Source organism: Homo sapiens, chromosome 1, assembly GCF_000001405.40.
Source record: "Homo sapiens chromosome 1, GRCh38.p14 Primary Assembly".
Lineage (NCBI taxonomy): Eukaryota > Metazoa > Chordata > Mammalia > Primates > Hominidae > Homo > Homo sapiens.
Window position 1 is genome coordinate 219,541,338 of NC_000001.11, and position 17,984 is coordinate 219,559,321.

The window sequence follows — 17,984 nt, forward strand, 5'->3', positions numbered from 1 at the left end:
AGAACAGGGAAACATTATATGGGTTTAGAAAAGAAAAAAATATAACTGATCAACACAGGGATCAAGAATGGGTCCATCTGCAGGTTGTTCCAACCAACTGTGGAAGTGATCCTGTAGCTCACGGTGTACATTGTCACTAGTAAAACTTTCAAAGGCCTTCTGTAATGAAAAGAATAAGAATGTTTTATAAATATCACACCAAAAATGTATTTGGCTTTTTAACTGTATGAACATACTTGAAGTTTTTTCTCTTAAGTAGTGTAAATAGCAACTTTTAACACAAAATTAGGAAAACAATAGTCCCTACTTCATAGAGGGTGTGACGTTTAAATAAAACAAAGTGTGAAGTCTGCTGCATAGATCACCTAGCACAGTGAGTAATCAGTAAGTGCTAGCTATCTTATTTACAGCCGCTGTTAATTTTCTCAATAATGCATTTCTTGATAGGTATTTCCTTGGTAAATACGTCGCACTAAGTCAGAAGTATCCTGATCCCAAATTTCCAGAGCTGCACAATGTGGTCTGCATTATACTTCAGAGCCTACAACACTGAACACGGTTATCATGCAGATGTTGAATGCTCATGCATGTAGCATGTTGGTATCAGTGTCTACTGGCATGACCTAGTGGGCATAAACTTAGATGGAAGTTGCAACAAAAGCAAGTAATCAAAAGGCTCCATTTTTCTATGAAAGTAAATAAAACCTGATTGGTGGAATGAAAAAAGCAAGTAGAAAGAACTGGGTCAAGAGAGACTTCATACATACATTTTTGTGTGTGACTAATTTAGTGGGTTAATGTTTCCTTGCAGCTTGTGGTGTTTTCCAGGTGGCTTGAAGAAATAGAGAATTTAAGGCCAAAACATTTGGTGAGTTTCCTAATGAAAAAAATTAAACAATAGCTGCTCTGGCTTTTTGTAAGCAAAGATGTCTGAGTTGAACTCCAGGAAGAAAAGGAGCTATCACCCTAGTCTATATTTATGAATCTATATGCCAAGATTAAGGTGAACACCCCCAAAGTCCCATGTTACTACTCTTTTCTATCACCATACCCGATCAAACACAGCAACATACACCGAGAGAAATTATTAAAAAGCTACCTCAAAAAAGCAAGCAATAGACACTTTTTACCCACAAAAGCACAGAAGGCACAAATTGCCCAAAGGCAAATGCCCGGCTGCCTCCCATCCCAAACACAAGACCGAAAAACTAGAAAGCTTAGATCCTTGGTGGACTCTGGACTCCTCAAACTCCTTGGATGACATAATCTAATTTGAGAAAAAACACTCTCAACTGACCATCTAGCAGAGGTCTCTATTCCAAGGGCCAGGCTTGCAGTGACCATCTGTATTTCTTCAGCTGAAGTCTGCACAAAGAAAACTGAAAAGTTGAGATTCTAAAGCCCGGTTGTTCCTGGACATTAATTTCTAGTGACTATCTGGGATGTTTAGTTGAAGTATTCCTAGGCAGAGAAAAGTCAAAATAGTCTCCAACTATCAACACTTCTCAGGTCACAAATTCCAAAGGATAATAATTACCCAAACAAAAACTACCCACAGGACATACAATAATGATTTTTCTTTCAGCACGAAATTATCCAAACTAAGACCACAGAGCAGATGGCAACTTTTCAGTGGCACATTCTATGACTGGGATATTGGCAGGTCCTTGGAGTCTCAGCCTAATGCAATGATGACATCAGGCCCAGGGAAGGTGGAATTCTAAGATGTGCCCAAGGTCTCTGTTTCCAGGTGCATATGTCCTGTACAATCACCTTCCTTCAGAGTGGGCAGGACCTACGAATATGACGGGATAGTCACCCCTCTGATTAGGTTATATTCTACAAGATTCCATTTTAACAGACCAGAGAGAGATTCTCCTACTTACTTTGAGGGAGTAAGTTGCCATATTGTGATAAGGCCACATGTTTTAGACGTGAGTCGTTGACTTATTCTCTGAGAACAATGCCTGGATAACTGCATGCAAGAAAACAGGACCTCATTTCCTATAACCACAAGAAGCTGGATTCTGCCAACAGTATGAATAAGCTTGGAAGAGAACCCTGAGGTCCAGATAAAAACCAAACCAGGTGACACCTTGATTTCAGCACTTTGAGACCTCAAGCAGAGGATCCAAGGAAATGATGAGATAGTAAACATCTGTTGTTTGAAGCCACTAAGTTTGTGGTAATTTGTTAAGTAGCAGTTGGATACTAACACCTAGCCTGAGCTGAGTGGCTGTAGGTTCTCATTTACCCACTGTGTGACCTCAAGCAGGTTAAATAACTATTTTGAGCTTCAGCTTTCTCATCCCTCAAGTGTGGATTATGAATATATCTGCTCACTTGCTCCCAGATATTTCAAGTGAGGGTGAAAATAGATATTACTTGTGAAAGTATTTTGAAACTTTATAGCATTAATCAAATAATTGGTAAAGTTAAGTAAAATATTTGAGGTCTGTGGAAGTCCAAGGGTCATTGTGGAACTCCAAACTGACTCCAGCTTTTCAAACCAGGGTGGGGTTATAAGAGCTTCTGCTCCCATGACCTATCTCCAAAGCAAATGCCAGAAGAGGCTTGGGTTTGTCCAATCAAAGATATAAACATGGAGAAAATTTTATATTTCATAGAAATTGGCAGAGCCTCACCTGCAAATGATTTACTTATGCACACTATATACATTTACTCTGACAAGTGCTAGGTACTATGGATAAGTATGCAAACAAAATCCAAGTTCTCTTTTTAAGCCAGTTAATGTCCCTAAGAAGACACAGATAAGAGATGAACAATTAACAAACTGTGTGAAAATGTTATACTAGTTGGTAGGCAGACTGCTGGGTGAGCACAGGCAGCAGGGAGTTAGAGCACCTACTTGTCACAGGGATGTGCAGAAGGTTTTCCCAGAGGAAGATGGACTTGTGTTGATTGCTAAAGGACAAGTAAGGGTCATTAAGCAGACAAGATGGGCAAAGGGCTAAGGAAGAGGCATTTCATGGGAAACAGTTGGATTTAAAACCCAGAGGCTTGAAACCATGACCCTTTTATAGGACAAGCACGTTAGTGCCATCTGGCTTTATAAAAGAGAACAGGAAAGTACACGAAAAAATTAGAACTGACAGTTAGGGAAAGAGCAGACCATAAAGGACCTTGTAGGCTTTAATGAAGAATTTGATATTTATTCTGAAGGTGATAAGGAGCCCTTGATGGCTTTTAAACAGATCTGCATTGAAGAAAGTTAACTTGGGCGGCAGTGTGGATAATGGATTAGAAAGAGGAAAGAATTCAACTTGAGGGTAATTGGAGTAATCTACCTAAGAAAAGCTAAAGACATTCCTGCAGATGAAAAGAGGGATGAATTTAAGAGCACCAAGAAGGTGGGACAAGCAGGATTTAATTGGCCAGATTTAATCTGGGAGAGAAAGAGATCATGTTGAATCCAAGGTTTCGAGCCTGAGCAACGGTATAATTGTGAGATCTGTGAGTATTCCAGGTCTTATCCTGATAGAGGAGGAACAATTTAGGTAAGAACATCAGGAGCATCCCAAAGCTGATCGGGAAGTAGGAGGAGGAAATTATTAATACAGGCAGATAATTTATGTCCTAGATCCGGCTCCCGCCCTCTCCCCTCTCCCCTCCCCCCTCTCCCCTCTCCCCTCTCCTCTCTCCCCTCTCCCACAGTCTCCCTCTCCCTCTCTTTCCACGGTCTCCCTCTGATGCCGAGCCAAAGCTGGACTGTACTGCTGCCATCTGGGCTCACTGCAACCTCCCTGCCTGATTCTCCTGCCGAGTGCCTGCCGAGTGCCTGCGATTGCAGGCACGCGCCGCCACGCCTGACTGGTTTTCCTATTTTTTTGGTGGAGACGGGGTTTCGCTGTGTTGGCCGGGCTGGTCTCCAGCTCCTAACCGCGAGTGATCTGCCAGCCTCGGCCTCCCGAGGTGCCGGGATTGCAGACGGAGTCTCGTTCACTCAGTGCTCAATGGTGCCCAGGCTGGAGTGCAGTGGCGTGATCTCGGCTCGCTACAACCACCTCCCAGCTGCCTGCCTTGGCCTCCCAAAGAGCCGAGATTGCAGCCTCTGCCCGGCCGCCACCCCATCTGGGAAGTGAGGAGCGTCTCTGCCTGGCCGCCCATCGTCTGGGATGTGAGGAGCCCCTCTGCCTGGCTGCCCAGTCTGGAAAGTGAGGAGCGTCTCTGCCCGGCCGCCATCCCATCTAGGAAGTGAGGAGCGCCTCTTCCCCGCCGCCATCCCATCTAGGAAGTGAGGAGCGTGTCTGCCCGGCCGCCCATCGTCTGGGATGTGGGGAGCGCCTCTGCCCCGCCGCCCCGTCTAGGATGTGAGGAGCGCCTCTGCCCGGCCGGGACCCCGTCTGGGAGGTGAGGAGCGTCTCTGCCCGGCCGCCCCATCTGAGAAGTGAGGAGACCCTCTGCCTGGCAACCGCCCCGTCTGAGAAGTGAGGAGCCCCTCCGTCCGGCAGCCACCCCGTCTGGGAAGTGAGGAGCGTCTCTGCCCGGCAGCCACCCCGTCCGGGAGGGAGGTGGGGGTCAGCCCCGCCAGGCCAGCGGCCCCGTCCTGGAGGGAGGTGGGGGGGTAAGCCCCCCGCCCGGCCAGCCGCCCCGTCCGGGAGGTGAGGGGCGCCTCTGCCCGGCTACCCCTACTGGGAGGTGAGGGGCGCCTCTGCCCGGCTACCCCTACTGGGAAGTGAGGAGCCCCTCTGCCCGGCCAGCCGCCACGTCCGGGAGGGAGATGGGGGGGTCAGCCCCCCGCCCGGCCAGCCGCCCCATCCGGGAGGTGAGGGGCGCCTCTGCCCGGCTACCCCTACTGGGAGGTGAGGGGCGCCTCTGCCCGGCTACCCCTACTGGGAAGTGAGGAGCCCCTCTGCCCGGCCAGCCGCCACGTCCGGGAGGGAGGTGGGGGGTTCAGCCCCCCGCCCGGCCAGCCGCCCCATCCGGGAGGTGAGGGGCGCTTCTGCCCGGCCGCCCCTACTGGGAAGTGAGGAGCCCCTCTGCCGGGCCACGACCCCGTCTGGGAGGTGTACCCAACAGCTCATTGAGAACGGGCCATGATGACAATGGCCGTTTTGTGGAATAGAAAGGCGGGAAAGGTGGGGAAAAGATTGAGAAATCGGATGGTTGCCGTGTCTGTGTAGAGAGAAGTAGACATGGGAGACTTTTCATTTTGTTCTGTACTAAGAAAAATTCTTCTGCCTTGGGATCCTGTTGATCTGTGACCTTACCCCCAACCCTGTGCTCTCTGAAACATGTGCTGTGTCCACTCAGGGTTAAATGGATTAAGGGCAGTGCAAGATGTGCTTTGTTAAACAGATGCTTGAAGGCAGCATGCTCGTTAAGAGTCATCACCACTCCCTAATCTTAAGTACCCAGGGACACAAACACTGCGGAAGGCCGCAGGGTCCTCTGCCTAGGAAAACCAGAGACCTTTGTTCACTTGTTTATCTGCTGACATTCCCTCCACTATTGTCCTATGACCCTGCCAAATCCCCCTCTGCGAGAAACACCCAAGAATGATCAATAAAAAAATAAATAAATAAAGTTCTATGAACAGAAAAAAAAAAAAAATTTATGTCCTAGATCCATTGAGGCAGTGTTTTTCCTCACTAACAAAAGAGTAGTTTGGGCAACAAAAGTCCTGTCTGAGACTAGAACAAGACAGTAGTTCTGGGTCTGATGTCTTAAATGGCTAGGCCTATAGGTAGTCATTAAGTGCATCAAAGACAATTTCTTAATGGGTGGATCCTCAACTTGCTAAAACTTAACTGTAAGTGTTTAGAAGGCAGACTTAAGCATTTGTTAATTGACTGGCTTACTGGCCTAGGAGTTGAAGGTAACCGTGGCTTAGTTCAGCACATATGCACACTTTTAAAAGGAATTATAAAGTGTCTCAGATAACAAAAGAAATCTAAGTCTTCAGAAGTTCCTCTTGCAGTCAAGAAGGCGAGAGTGGTGAGAGCTCAGAAGGCTTGTCAACATTTTTTTATTCCATTTTTAGAATCACATCATTCAAAATGATGTTTTCAATTATTCCTGCTTTTAAATTGAATTTTGCCTGGAAACAAATACACCACACCACTTTTAGTGCGAACACCCTGTAAAAGGCACCGAGAATGTGGAATCGATTTTTAGACTGTGCACGAGGCCTTAATATTCGCCAAATCACACCACTCCTTTTAAAACATATCTCAAGTTGGTCATCTGCTGGGGAGCATTGCTTCATTCTTATTGATCTTCCTCCAACCCACCAGCACTAACCCGAATCCACCTTTCTCAGTGTGCAGTGTTGTGGTTTTTGTATTTATCTGCCTTCGTGCCTATGTTTTTTTGTCTGAATATTTTGTATCTTTTCCATCTCTATTTGATTGGGCCCAACCTCCTTCTTTACTAAGTGCCCCAAGAAACATGATATGATCCTATCAACACAGCTAATCAACTAGTCCTTATTTATTATTATTCAAGCAATAAGCATACACACAGAATTACTGCAACTGAGAAGACATTTTCTATTATAACTTTCTTCTTTGCCTATCACCTAGAAATTGATGGTTGCCTTCTTTTCCCCTTCCTTCTCCATTATAGTGGGTAAAGGGGACACGATGTATATTAGTCTCTTCTCACGCTGCTAATAAAGACATAACCAAGACTGGGTAATTTATAAAGGAAAGAGGTTTAATGGACTCACAGTTCCACATGGCTGGAGAGGCCTTACAATCATGGTGGAAGGTGAATGGGGAGCAAAGTCATGTCTTACATAGCTGCAAGCAAGAAAGTGTGTGCAGGGGAACTCCCATTTATAAAACTATCAGATCTCATGAGATTTATTCAGTACAGTGAGAACAGTATGAGGGAAACCACTCCCATGATTCAATTATCTCCACCTGGCCCTGCCCTTGACATGTGGGATTCTTACAATTCAAGGTGAGATTTGGGTGGGGACACAGCCAAACCGTATCACAGTGACAGAAATCTTCTTGGATTTGGAATAGGAGACTTTCAGTTCCCACAAGAGCTAATGGACTCAGCTTAGTGAGAGAGTGACATGCTGGATCAGCGGCAGAGATTGTAGGGCAGCTTGAGGGGGTGCTATGGAAATGGGGACTGAGAGGAGGCCTTGCAGCACCTACCAGCAGGTAAACCTAAAGGGTGAGGATTAATGCAGGGGAACAAACAAGCAGCTTGATTGGTACCTAGGAGAATCAGACCTAAGACAGAATCAGATTTGAGGAAATTGTTAATGCAATCAGAGTTAATGCAATAAAGAGCAATATCTGTTGCAGCTCACCCTTTTACATAGTCCCCAGATTATTTTGACTGATGGAATTAACCCAGGGAACAACAATGGGGGGCTCAGCTCCACTCTGTGTCACTCTGGGAACTGTGCAACCAAGAATAAACTAGGATTTTGTTTTGGCATAGCAGGTGAGGAAACACAGGCTGTGGTCTCTTGCAAAAGTCTGTCTGTGACTTTTCTCACTTTAATCCTATTTTCATTAAACTCAACACAAGCCAGCAAGCAAGTGCTTGCACCCCAGATCACTACCTGATCTTACTTTCAGTTTGGGATACTTTATCATGTATTCCATTTGCTAATTCACCACTGAAGTTTGCCTAGAAGATTTACTTATTCAATAAACAGTGGATTGACTTTGTGGGGAGAGGAAGGGGTGGTTAGAATGAAGAATGCAGTTAATCAACTGATGCTCCATCTACAAGATACAAAAATGATCTGACTCTTCCCTACCTGGACTCACTAGCAATTTATGATCAATCACCCTCCTTCTTCCTGATAGTTCAAAAGCATACAAACTTTCTGTATGTCCTAGTTTGTTTTCTAGGATTCAGTAGTTTCCCTTTCCAAAGATTTCCTTTCTGAGTGGTTTTTCAGAACTTTGGAAACTCAGCACAACCTGGCTTTACCTGGCTTAGGCTTTTCTCTAGGAACCTTTTCTCCAGTGCTAGACAAGGGGAGGCCATGCTGGAAAGCTCAGCTTATATAACCTCATTTGACAAATATGATACATGCCAAAAACCTGACATTTCACAATACAAACTTTTTATGAAGCAGCTTTATGTTTCAAACACAATAAGGCATTCAAAAAGCATGTGATCATCCAACCACCTCCCCAAGTCCCAAGGGTTCAGTTAAAAATATATGGGGAAGAAACAAAGCTCTTTCACATAATGGTATCAAACCCACTGTTTTCTCTTTGATTCCCCCCTTTTCCCTTCTGTGTTCTCCAGGGTGGCCAGGCTAGTACCCTTAGAGATTCACTTCACCACCACTCCCAGGGGCTGGGGGGAAACCTCTCCTTTGATCTGAAAACAAGTACATTGAAAGTCCTCTCTGGGGTAGGAGTATTGTGACACATAGCCATTATCTCAGATGAGATAATGAATGAGAAAATGCTTTGTAAACCATAAAGTTTTAAATGTTAGTGATTGTTTTATTATTGTTAGTAATTTATTTATTAGAATTGTTACTACTAATAATAAAATGAATCACCAAGCTTCCTGCTCCAGAGTTCCAATTTAGGCTGCAATGCCTCAGGAAGATATGGAAGCTGCAAGAGACACGGGGAAGAGAGATGTTATCCATCACCGCTGTAGTCTGCTAGAAGAGTAGCTGTGTTTATGAGAGTCCATCAGGACCTCCGCTGACTCTAAAAGTAACTTTCCACTGTTGAAGTTATTCTTCATTATCATTGATAACGCACCCACGTATCCACACTGTGAAAGGAGGCTTTTACTGCTGAAGTCTCCAGTAATCCCACTGAGAAGATCATCTCTCCAACCTGAAAGGCTTAAGGACCTGGCCACCTTCCCCCCAGCTCCCCTATCCCCCTCCAGGTGGCCTTTTCTCAGACCCCTACCCCTAATGTTGCCCAGCCATCTCCTCATAACTTGGAATCACCCACAGAGAAAAAAAGAAAAAAAAAGATTATGATTCAAGTGAAAATCTGAGTAAGCAAACGTATTTGGCATTGAGAGCTATGGAAAGTTGAGTCTGGAGCCAGAGGTGGTTACCCGACTCTGCCCATAATTTTACACAGACAGCTCCATGCAGCAATCTTGGTGGGTTCAGAGGAGTGTAATGGGAAGCACTCTAGAATTTTTACTTTTGAGTATTTTTCAACAAATAAGTCCATTTAAGCTGCAATGGAAAGGACTGCCAACTACTTTCTCAACCAGGACTTTAAAAAGAAAGAAACAGAAAAAGAATAATTTATAATGATCAAAGATAAACTGAAATATTAGTCTGGAAGAAATACAATTTCAGGTCTAGAAGTTGGGTTTTATGAGAGAGATAATCCGCCCCTATTTTTTCCAGGCCTATAAATGCAATTTTTATTTTATTTTTTCCCCAGCCCTATGGTTGCTACAAAGGTTGAACATGAGGAAGATTATTGCATTTATTTTCAGGGGGTACTTGGCAATAACATTCTGCAGACCCACCTTGTGCTATTTAGGAGCATAAGCTGGAAACGCCCTGCCAGCTGCTGCTTGTCAATGGATCTAAACTTCTACTTTTACAGTCTAATGAAGACCCAGCCCTTCTCTATCTGGGGACAATCTGTGAGTTTGGTCAGTGTCTGCCATTTTATGTCTTATGCTCATTATCAACAATTAACACAAAGAACAGATAGGATCTTGGCTGTTTCTGCCTTAGGGAAAGAGCAATTTTTTATGGCAATTAGAATATAAAACTTAATATCAAACCATTCATATTAAAGTCACAGGCTATTCTAAAATATGTCTAATATAAACAATAAATCTGGTTATTATCATTCTACTCAAATCTTTTCTTTGTGCTTTAGAGGGTCCAATAAGGTACTATTCCAGAACAGGAGAGAGGAAGAGCTCAGGTATTCAACTTCACCTGGGTACCCCCTGCATCACGATAACAAATGCATGGGAATTGTTCTCCTTTTTAAATATTGGATCACATTTTCTTAATTCCACCTGAAAACAGCCTTCTGGCATTTCATGGTAAACATGTATAGTCATACAGCTTAGATGAGGCTACCCTACTAAGCAGAACGTAAATAAGAAAAACTTGCACTGCTCGTCAACCTCTAAAATGTTCAAATATGGGCATAACTGAGAAATAGAGAGAGACAGGACAGTAATGTTTTATCTTAAATTAAGTTTGCCAGTTATACTGAGAAGCTGCTCAGGCTCTTCTTGATCCATCTACTTAACAGTGCCCCAAATTTTTATACAAACATACCAAGGAACTTGTCCCATTATGGGAAACCCAACCACAAACCAAAAAAATCACCCTTCTCATTCAATTTGGTAGCCATATATTCTTCAGGGAATCTCAGGATAAGAAAGATATAATAGTATATCAAGGCAAATATACAATACAATATTTCCAAGTAATGCCCTTGGTAATAGAGGTGAGTTTGATTTCTACATAATCATATTTTTACATAATGTAATGTGAGTGCTTTGTACTTAGCCAGCTCTGGGTTTGGGACCCAGTTTTGGCATTAATATGTAATATTGGCAAGGTGACACCGAACAAGTTACCCAATCTCTCTGAGACAGCTTCCTTATCTGTAAAATGAGGATAATTATAGTTCCCGTACCATAGACTTGTTGTTGGGATTAAACATGTTAAAGATACAAAACAATTAAAGCAGTGTCTGGCACATAGTAATCACTCAATAAATGCTGGCTTTACATTAACGGTCCCAGACCTTCCTTCTGTTGTATCTTGATTTCCTATGGTCATCATTAGCTCTGGCATCACTTAAAGGAGACAATGAATGTATTTCTGAGGAAGAGATCATCTCAGAACAGTCAGGCAAATGGAGAAATGCTGACCAAGGACCAGAGAACCCACTTGCTTACATTGGAGATGAAGAAAGTCTTATTATTCTGGGGAGCTAAAGGGAGATGGAGAAAGTAGGTGTATAATTATAATATTTCTAATAAGAAATATATTTGGTCTTTGTCTCCAGTTTCTGGTGCAAAGCTCTTAAAACCCTTGGAATTTCCTGAGTGATAGGAGTGTCTTTGTTATTCACAACATCACAGGGACAATAGCTCCTGTACTCACGATTCTTCTGGACCTCAGCCTATGTACCTTTTCATTTGGTTCATCCATATCCTTTATAATACTCTTTACAATGAGCTGGTAAATATAAGTAAATGTTTTCCTGAGTTTTGTGTGCCATTCTAGCAAATTAGCAAACCAAGGAAAGGGTTATGAGAATCCCTGATTAAGACCTCAAGATCAGTCAGAAGTACAAGTGATCCAGACTTGCAATTGGCATCTAAAGTGAACGGGGGCAGTCTTGTGGGGCTGAGCCCTTAACCTGTGAGGTCTGTGCTAACTCCACATAATGAGAGTTAGTATTGAATTGAGTTGTAGGACACATGGTTGGTGTCCAGGGACTTGAATTGCTTGGTATGGAAAAAAAAAAAAAACACACATTTGGTGTCAGAATTGTTGTGAACAGAGTAACAGTTTTCCCAGAATAGGGCATGATGTTTTTGTTTCCTATATTCATTTCTGGCCCTCTTACAAGTCTGTAAACAGATTCCAGTGATATGTTTTCCAACAGGGAAAGCAATGGGGTGAACCAGAGCATTGAGAGAAAATTGCCTGCAATCTCCACCACACTCCCACCTGCCACCAAATAACACAGCTAAGGGGTCTAAGCTCTGCTAAAAATGACAGGTGTGTAGTCAACCTCTGTGTAAGTTCTGTTTCCTTGGAAGGGCCTTTCTAAGAACAGAGGTAGACTCTAAGTTGTTTTTTTGTTTGTTTGTCTTGTTTGTTTTTTGCTTAATGGAAAACCAGGCTGTCAACAGATTTTGAGACCAATACTTCTAAGTTAGAATGGTTAACCAAATCATCAAGGGAGAAATCTAGAAAAAATACTGGAGTCTCGTTCTAAGCATGAGCTTTTGACACAAATAGATGTGGCTTTAAATCTTAAAACATGCTGCCATTTATGAGCTTTAGGATCTTGAGCATGTTAGTTAATTTATTCTAGCCTCTTTTCCCATCTAGGGTGACCATTCCTTCCACTTTTCCTGGTACAGTACAAGCTATACCTGTTGTCCCTTGATAATTAATAAAAGTTGCCTTATCATTCTGAAAGGGCCCCAGTTTGGATAATAAATGTTATGGCTACATCCATTCTTCTGTAAAATGGAAATAATAAGCACCTCCCAGGGTGGTTATGAAAGCTAACCATAATCTATATTAGTAACTACTATAATGCCTTGCACATAGAAAGTGCTCAGTGAAAACTAGTTCTCCTTTACCTGTTCACACCAGATCTATACTGTCCAGTACAGTAGCCATTAGCCTCACATTGCTACTGAGGAATGTGCTATAAATGCAAAAAATGCACAAGATTTTGAAGATTTAGTACAACAAAAGAAGATTAAATATCTCATTAATAATTTTATATTAATTACATGTCCAAATGATATTATTTTGGATATACTGTATTAAGTTAAACAAAATTTATTGTTAAAATTAATTACAACTGTTTATTTTTACTTTTTTTGGCATGACTTCTTAAAAAAACCCTGGATCACAGCTCCAGATGTTCTGTTTATGTAACTGCTAACCCCCTAACCTCATCCACCATCACCACCTCACTCTTAGCTTCCCCCTGCCCAGGAATTCTTCCTTCTAAAACTCAATGCAAGAATCAAGTACTCTTTCATCATATTTACCAACATGTTCTTACTTTATTTTCTGGATTTTGGGAGGTAAAAGGGCAGTCAACTAGGGGGCAAAATAAAATCAACCTTGATCATGGCTCTCACGAATGGTTTTTCCTTAGGGATAGAAGCATTGACCTTGAATACATTAGGAAAGCTGAAGAATCTGGGTCAACATTGGAAAATGTCCATATTAACAAAGAAAAAGGAGCTTGGTTTGCCAGAAAAGATATTGCAATCTCTCCCTCGATCAGATTTGCTAATTCTTGTGAATGCTTGTGAAACACCTCGGGTCTCAAATCCAAATCACATGAAGAACTAGGCCCTTGAGCACATCATTGGTGCTGTCTCTTTGACAAAAAGCATTTTTAGTTGATGGAAAATCACCAACTTTCACCCCTAAAAACATCTGTGAAGAGCAGAAAACAGCCTGACTCTTATAGATGTCCCTGACAGGTGAGTTGAAAAGACATAGAGAACAAACTATAGAGAAAATTTACTCCAAAACAATTATTTAATTCTATCATGCCCATGTCACACTGATACAGCTGGTTAAAAAACACAAATGTTCAATTTAAAAAAATAGCAAGTTAGACTTAAGAAAAAATTTGATCAAATAGCGTACTTAAAATATTTTCAGATATGTAATATTTTAAAAATGTTTTTGTTGGGAAGAACCCATTGGCTGGGGTGGTTGTCCTGGCATCACATGTAGACACCTGTCAATTCTGTCATAGAGGTAAAAGAGAAGCTGGTTTCTTAGCACAACCAAAAATGAGCTTTAGTTAATGTACTGAATTTTTCACAGTTCAACCAGTTGTTTTAGCACTGCACAGACACAAATGTGTACATTACTCCCCAGAAGAGCACCGTGTCCCCTGACAGTCTTATAGCTTAGAAGGAGGGAAATAGACAATATGAGGAGTACGTGTTGGATAAATCTAATATCTAATGTATTCCATGAGATGGTTTGCGTCTGAGCTCCACCACCTCTCATCAGTTAACTCTCGCATTCACTCACCCCACAATCAAATAATTCCCTTCTAATTCTCTTCTTTGATAGCAAGCCAACCCTGGGAGAAACAATGGTTTGGAACAATAGCACCTGAGGTGGAAGAAAACACAGTGGGCCTCTCACTTTCGCTCTCTAACCACAACAATTGAAAGAGACTATGGCCTGAAAAATCTATCTGCTCCTAAATGGTACCCAGATGGAAATCACAGCTGCTGTCATGTACCACCTGTACCTACGCCCATCCATCTTCAGAACACGCCTGGGGCAGAGGAGAGAAATCGAGTTGACAGAGCAGTTAAAGAGCCTCTCTTTTCTCCTGCATACTTTTCCTTTTATCTTTTTCTCTTCAGTTTCAGAGCTTCTTGTTCTCACCTTCATGCTGTGGCAATGCTGACAAAAGAAAACTGCAGCCTCTGAGAACCAGTGGTGAGTAATAGCCCCAGGCTCTGAATACCTAATGTCTATTGTATGTTGAGGGGAGGGAGAGCCAAAGGGAGGAGAGGAATTTGGTCAAATAGCCTGTGTAGAAACAGGACCTTTCGGTGACAATCCTAAATGCATCCAGAGAGTATCTGAGTTTTGATACCTCTCCTCTAATTAAATCCAAGGATCTAATATGCATGGCCTTTAGGAATGCGTTGTTCAAACAGATTTGATTCCTGCCCAGAGGCTTTTTAAGCCACTGACCACTTTGAACCTAATTAGAAAAAGCAGAGGACACTGGAGACGTTTAATAAAAGGAATCGAATTGCTGCTTCATCTTCATGACCTGGGATTTATAAGGGAATTTCACTGGCTTTGTAGCAATGTAAAATAAATAGACATTAGATGATGACAGGGAAAACAAAATTGCTGCCAAAGCTAAAAAGAGCTTGGCAAAAGAAGAAAGAACTACTACATAGTTGGTCATTATTTACTGTACAAACCTTTTCATAAAGCAGAGAAGAGAGATACATAGGAATAATGGGCCCTTGCTAAAAGATGAAAAGGGCTTTCTATAGCTTACATTATCCCCTGACGAAGGCACTGACGTGTCCCAGTTGTTACACAATCTTATTGTTCTATTCAGCCATTCAGAAAGCTGAATGAACAGCCCTGCTCTGAAACTTTTAAAGGCTGAAATCAACAGGCCACTCATTTCCAAGGAAAAGAATAAAATTGTAACGGATGGAAATAACTAATTAATTTGTTAATCTTTGCAGACTGCCACGGTCCATTGCATATGCTCTAACCAGTTAATTAGTCTTTAGCCTGTAATTCTAAAATGTAAATAAGTGCAGTTACCTAACCCACCAGCTCCTAACAAAAATATCCAACTATTCATTATTTAATTTAAAAGGAAGAAGGCTTTGCTTTTCATTGGTGGTGGTGTTCCTGAGATGTTAACTAAACACCGTGACCTAAGTTTAATTTCATCACACCTTACTGAAATGGTTTTATTCTAAAGTATATGCCCCTCTCCCCACTCCAGAAAGCTAAAATCATGAGGCTTAACTAAAGTCAGATCTATCCAATCCAACAGGAGATTATTTTTAGATGTTAATGAAGGAAAGGGTTTTTGTAAACTGTAAAGTGCTGGTAGCTATAAACCACTATAACTGTAAACTTGAACAAAAGTACATTATTTATTGATGTTAATTAATAGTCTATTATTCTATTAGATTGCATTTCAGTCACTAAAATCATTAGTAGACTCATTCAGCCTTTCAAATGTGTGTGAGAGGTAGGAAGGAGATCGGTGGGATAGGGCAGAAAGTGGAAGCAAATGCGTTCCTATGGCATTTGAGAAACACGGAAGAAAGTCCTAAAATGTATCCAAGAGAATCACAGCAAGGGACTCCTCTAGCGAAGAAGAGGACATTGATCCCATGAGCTGTACTGGTATCTTTTATAGTATCCAAAGCAGAGCAAATCCCCAATTAATTAGGGTGGTCAGAAAATGGTGGGTTCTTATTATTTCCCCTCTAAAGCACTGTGGGGCCCTATAAAGACTGAGTACCCAACTGGCCCTGCATCTTTGTGATCACAGGGCCTTGAGCAAGATACTCATCCTCTCAAAATGTCTTTGTTTGTTTTTGAATGTTTATAAGAGACTATCTGAAATTGGATAATTTATAAGAAACAAAATTTATGTCTTACAGTTCTGGAGACTGAGACATCCAAGGTTGGCGGGGGGCACATCTGGTGAGAGAGAGCCTTCTTGCTGGTGGGGACTCTGAAGTGCCCCACAGGGTATCCCATGGAGAGGGAGCTGAGGGTGCTCCCATGTGCCCACTTAGCACTCTCTTCCTCTTCTTATAAGCCACCAGTTCCCTTCCCATGATAACTCATTAATCCATTAACCCATTAATTGAAGAATGGATTAATCCATCCATGAAGGCCAAGCCCTCATAACCAATCACCTCGTAAAGGCCCACCTCTCAATACTGCCACATTGGGGATTAAGTTTCAACATGAGTTTTGGAGAGGACATTCAAACCACAGTACTAAGCCAATGCTTCTTCCTCTACAGGGAAACTGGGAAACTGACACTTCCTGCCTTATATTGTTGCAGTTGCAAAGATCAAATACCAAGGTTATGGGAAGATGTTTTGAAGCCCCATATAAATATGTAATTTAATTTATTCCAATAAAGACTCATTGCACAGGCTGGGCACAATGGCTCACACCTCTCATTTCAGCTCTTTGGGAGGTCAAGGTGGGCCGATTGCTTGAGCCCAGGAGTTCGCGACCAGCCTGGGCAATATGATGAAACCCCATTTCTACAAAAAAAATACAAAAATTAGCTGGGTGTGGAGGTGTGCATGCTTGTAGTCCCAGCTACTTGAGAGGCTGAGTGGGAGATCGCTTGAGCTTGAGAGGCAGGGATTGCAGTGAGCCGAGATTATGCCACTGCACTCCAGCCTGGGCGACAGAGCAAGACCATGTGTCAAAAACAAACCAACCAACAAACAAACAAAGACTCATTGCACATATAAGCAATAGATCAACCATTTTCAAAGAGCATAACCAAAAAAAAAATCCAACACTACACAAATCTTGAATATAATTTAACCTTTCTTCGAAAGTTTAGAAAGTATTTCAAGATGAGGCAATGCTTTTCTCTAACATTAACATGAGCATCGATTACAGAAATGTTCCACTGAATTACATGGCAAAATTAAAATTCTGATGATTTTATGTACATGGTTGCTTGAAATATGAGCTATCAGTAGCTACTATATCCCATTAGGCCTTTCAAGTTCACATCATAAGTTGTATAAGAGATAGGACACCTCCATTGAAAACATCAGTCGACTTAGACGATTTCTGTCAGATATTATTGATTCAGCAATATAAGAATGCGACGATGTAGTCCCAGCTACTGGGGAGGCTGAGGCAGGAGAATGGCGTGAACCTGGGAGGCAGAGCTTGCAGTGAGCCTGGGAGACGGAGCTTGCAGTGAGCCGAGATCGCGCCACTGCACTCCAGCCTGGGTGACAGAGCAAGACTTCGTCTCAAAAAAAAAAAAAAAAAAAAGTCAACGAAAGGACATGGGTTTGGAGAGTAACCAGAGATGCTGCCAATTAAAGATACCCCTTACTCAAGACACTTTATTTCTCTCTGTTGGAACATTGTCATAATATACTGTCATCTACTAAAAAATTACTGTAATAAATATAAAAATCTTCACTGTCTGCCATGACAGGAACCGCATGAGCTGTTATGCCCTTCTGCAACGCAGAACTTTCCCAACCATATATGGTGGCCCTGAGATGTGTAGTTTTGCCCTTTACACCTTTATTTTCTATTAGTACATTTACTTTTTAAAAAAGTATGAACTATCATTTGCAATTTGAAAAACATCAAATACAGAACATTTAAAAAATATATCGCTAGACCTCAAAATGAATCTTAATGGCAATCACAGATTTCAACCCTTTCAACCAGATTTCTGAGTGTCTGAACATAGATGTAGGCTCTGAGACTATGATTTCTAGCTTGTTTTTCCTAAATATTCACTGTGTAATTGGGACACTATCACTTAGCCCCTTTGTTCCTTATTATATCATTTATAAATTTTATAACTATATTTTAATAAAGGTACTTAATATCTAGATAATAGATAAATGGTTTGTCTATAATCCCTAATTTATATACAATAAGTCTACCAACTTTTATGGTAGAACTTCATAAGTTTTAAACTAGTATAATATTTAATTTTTAGTATATAAACATCTGATGTGGTTTGGCTGTGTCCTCACCCAAATCTCTCCATGAATTGTAATAA

General features: G+C 41.8%; 2 long non-coding RNA genes across 2 annotated transcripts in view, besides 1 other annotated feature; one reads left to right on the forward strand and one right to left on the reverse strand.

The window, feature by feature from the left end:
- The window catches only part of LYPLAL1-AS1 (LYPLAL1 antisense RNA 1), a 122,167-nt gene extending 106,180 nt beyond the window's left edge, over nt 1-15,987 (reverse strand). Inside the window, exon 1 of the long non-coding RNA NR_135822.1 lies at nt 15,854-15,987. This is a non-coding gene — a long non-coding RNA (LYPLAL1 antisense RNA 1). The remainder of the gene's footprint in view (nt 1-15,853) is intronic.
- Nucleotides 13,677-14,376: an enhancer, noted in NCBI's record as "OCT4-NANOG hESC enhancer chr1:219728356-219729055 (GRCh37/hg19 assembly coordinates)". NCBI's record gives its function as "activates a minimal SCP1, AML or CMV promoter by ChIP-STARR-seq in naive H9 embryonic stem cells {active_cell/tissue: H9 hESC(naive)}" and the evidence as "EXISTENCE:reporter gene assay evidence [ECO:0000049][PMID:30033119]".
- LOC124904514 (uncharacterized) lies at nt 14,063-16,370 on the forward strand. Its single transcript, XR_007066882.1, has 2 exons — nt 14,063-14,140; nt 15,856-16,370. It is a non-coding gene; the product is annotated as an uncharacterized LOC124904514 (long non-coding RNA).
- The last annotated feature ends 1,614 nt before the right edge of the window (nt 16,371-17,984 follow it).